The sequence below is a fragment of the Homo sapiens genome, chromosome X, assembly GCF_000001405.40.
Source record: "Homo sapiens chromosome X, GRCh38.p14 Primary Assembly".
NCBI classification, from domain to species: domain Eukaryota; kingdom Metazoa; phylum Chordata; class Mammalia; order Primates; family Hominidae; genus Homo; species Homo sapiens.
In genome coordinates this window covers 151,023,732-151,027,169 of record NC_000023.11, presented here as the reverse complement: position 1 = coordinate 151,027,169, position 3,438 = coordinate 151,023,732, and the positions used below count along the sequence as shown (strand labels likewise).

Genomic DNA, 3,438 nt, shown 5'->3' with positions numbered 1-3,438 from the left:
CACAGATATAAATATACACGGATACAGGCACAGATAGAGATATAGGATGAGACATAGATACAGATACAGGAAGAGGCCTAAATACAGATAGACACAGATAGAATATAGACATAAGTACAGCCACAGAGATACAGATAGAGACAAAGATACAGGAAGAGAGAGATACAGGTTGAGACACAAATGCAGAAACAGGTACAGGTAGAGACATGGATACAGATAAAAATAGAAATACAGGTAGAGACAAAGATACAAATACACATATAGGAACAAATCAGATATAGATACAGATGGTGACACAGATACAGGTACAGAAAGATATACATATTAAGACACAGATACAGGCATAGATACAGACGCAGGTAGAGATACAGATACAGATAGAGACACAAGTACTGCTATAGATACAGTTAGACAAACATACAGATACTGGTAAAAACATGAATATAGATAGACACAGACACAGACATAAACACAGGTGGAGCCAAAGATAGAGATACAGAGACGCAGACATAGGAGCAGAGAGATACAGGTAGAGACACTAATGCAGACACAGATACAGGTAGAGACACAGATAGAGACATAGATACAAGAAGACATAGAGACAAATATACATACAGGGATAGATCAGATTCGATACAGATGGAGACATAGATGCAGATACAGACAGAGATCCATATTGAGACATAGATACAGGTAGAGACACAGGTAGAGACTGAGGTAGAAGCACAGGTGGAGATACAGGTAGAAATATACAGACAGTCTACACTATGACCATACCATCCTGAATGCACCTGATCTTCTCTGATCTCAGAAGCTGAGCAGGGTTGGACCTGGCTAGTACTCGGATGGGAGAAATACACATGCAGACACAGATGAAGACACAGATACAGAAACAGGGGTATAAGTAGAGACACAAATACCAATTCAGATACAGGTGAAGACACAGACCAGATAGAGATAAAGATAGAGACACAGACACAGATATAAATACAATAGAGGCACAGATACTGATACAGATAGAGACAGAGGTAAAGATAGAAACAGAGACATAGATACATATGCAGGGAGAGACACAGTCCAGATACAAATGGAGACAGGTACAACACAGAAACAGATAAAATTAGATACACTGATATAGATACAGATAGAAATACAGATTCGGGTACAGAACTTACATATAGAGATATACATACAAGTAGAGACACAGATACAGATACAGTTAGAGACACAGACACAAAGAGAAACACAGATATAGATATAGGTAGAGACACAGATACAGATATAACTGGAGACACAAATACAAATACACCTACAGGAAGAGATATTGATAGAGGTAGACAGATACAGATAAACATACGTGTACACACAAAGATCCAGAAAGAGATAGAGACAGAGATAAAGGTAGCAATGCAGATTCTGATATAGAGACACAGATAAAGGTACAGAGAGAGATACAGATAAAGGTAGAAACACTAATACAGGAAATTATATAGACACAGTTCAGAAAAGATACAGGTAGAGACAGAAGCTGATACACATACAGGCACAGATACAAATATAGAGAGAGGCATAGATGCAGGCATAGATAGAGACAGAAACATAGATTCAGAAACAGATACAGACAAATGGAAAGACACAGATACAATACAGATAAAGGTAGAGATACAGATACAGGTATAGACAGAGATACAAATAGAGACACAGATACAGATGTAGATAGGGACACAGATACAACAGACACAGACACATAAACTGATACAGACACAGATACAAGGACAGATACAGGTAAAAACATGGATGCAGATATAGAGACACAAATATATGTACAGAAAGAAATATGGATAGAGGTGCAGACACAGATATAGACACAGGTACAGAAGAGATACAGGTAGAGGTACAGATGCAAGTCAAGACACAGATACAGACGCAGATAACTGTGGAGACACAGATACAGGTAAAGATGCAGATACAGGTACAGATAGAAACACAGATACAGGCAGAGACAGAAATGGAGAAAGAGAGACATATACATACAGAAAGAGACACAAATACAAGTAGAAATGCAGACGCATGTATAGGTAGAGACATAGATACAGATAAAGACACACATATGTGTACAGATACAAATACAGGTAAGGACACAGATACAGATACATATACAGACACAGATACAGGTGTAGACACAGATATAGGTACAAACAGAGATATAGACACAGATACAGGAATAGACACAGGTAGAAACACAGATACCGATAGACACAGAGAAACAAATACAAGTAGAGGCACAAATACAGGATTAAGTAAAGACACAGATATATGTACAAACAAACATAAGGAAGAGACACAGACAGATGCATAAAGATACAGATACAGATAGATTAGAGACACATGCAGATAAAGGTATAGATACATATACAGATAGTTATTCAAGGGGAGACAAAAATACAGATACAGATGCAGGTACAGGTAAAGGCAGAGATTCATAATCAGATAGATACACATAGACAGACACCAAATGCAAATAAGACACAGATACAGATGTAGATACAGTAGAGACATAAATATAAGTATAATTGCCTCAGAAGTAGTAGCAGAAAAAAAGAGAAAAAAATTAAAAACAAATACAGGTACAAGTATATAATCATATATAGTTAAAGATACAGACACGGATATAGATACAAATAGGCTCACAGATACAAATGGAAACAGATACAGATATAAACACAGGTAGAGACATAGACACAGACTTAGATACAGGAAGAGACACAGATACAGATAAAGGTAGAGACAGATGCAGCCAGAGACACAGATCTATATCTACAGAGAGACACAGATACAGGTATAGGCAGAGAAACAGAGACACAGATACACTACTGATAGAGACAGATACACATATGGGTGCAGGTAACTACAAGGTAGAGACAGATACAGATACAAATATATAAACAGGTGCAGATAGAGCTAGAGGTAGAGACACAGACAGAAATCTACAGAGAGACACAGAAGCAGGTACAGATACAGATACCGGTAGAGACACAGACCAGATACAGAGAGAGACACAAATATAGATACATGCAGAAACACAGATACAGATGCAGATGGAGACACCAACCAGATACATGTAGAGACAGAAAAACACACACATACGGAGAAAGAGAACATCTAGAGACACAGATACAGATAGAGACACAGATGTAGATGCATATAGAGACACCAATGCAGATGTAGACACAGATACAGATCCAGATAAATACATAGCTACAGATACAGATGCCAGCAGAGACACAGACCAGATAGAGATACATATAGAGACACACATACACGTATAGACAGATAAACAGATACAGAAGACATCGGTACAGATATACTTTTTCCTCAATATTGACTTCCGATCCAAAACTAGGTTTAGTGGCACATGGAAGATACCAAGTATTAAGA

The 3,438-nt window shown here is 37.7% G+C and overlaps 1 pseudogene; it reads left to right on the top strand.

The window, feature by feature from the left end:
• Window positions 764-875, top strand: RNA5SP525 (RNA, 5S ribosomal pseudogene 525; annotated as a pseudogene).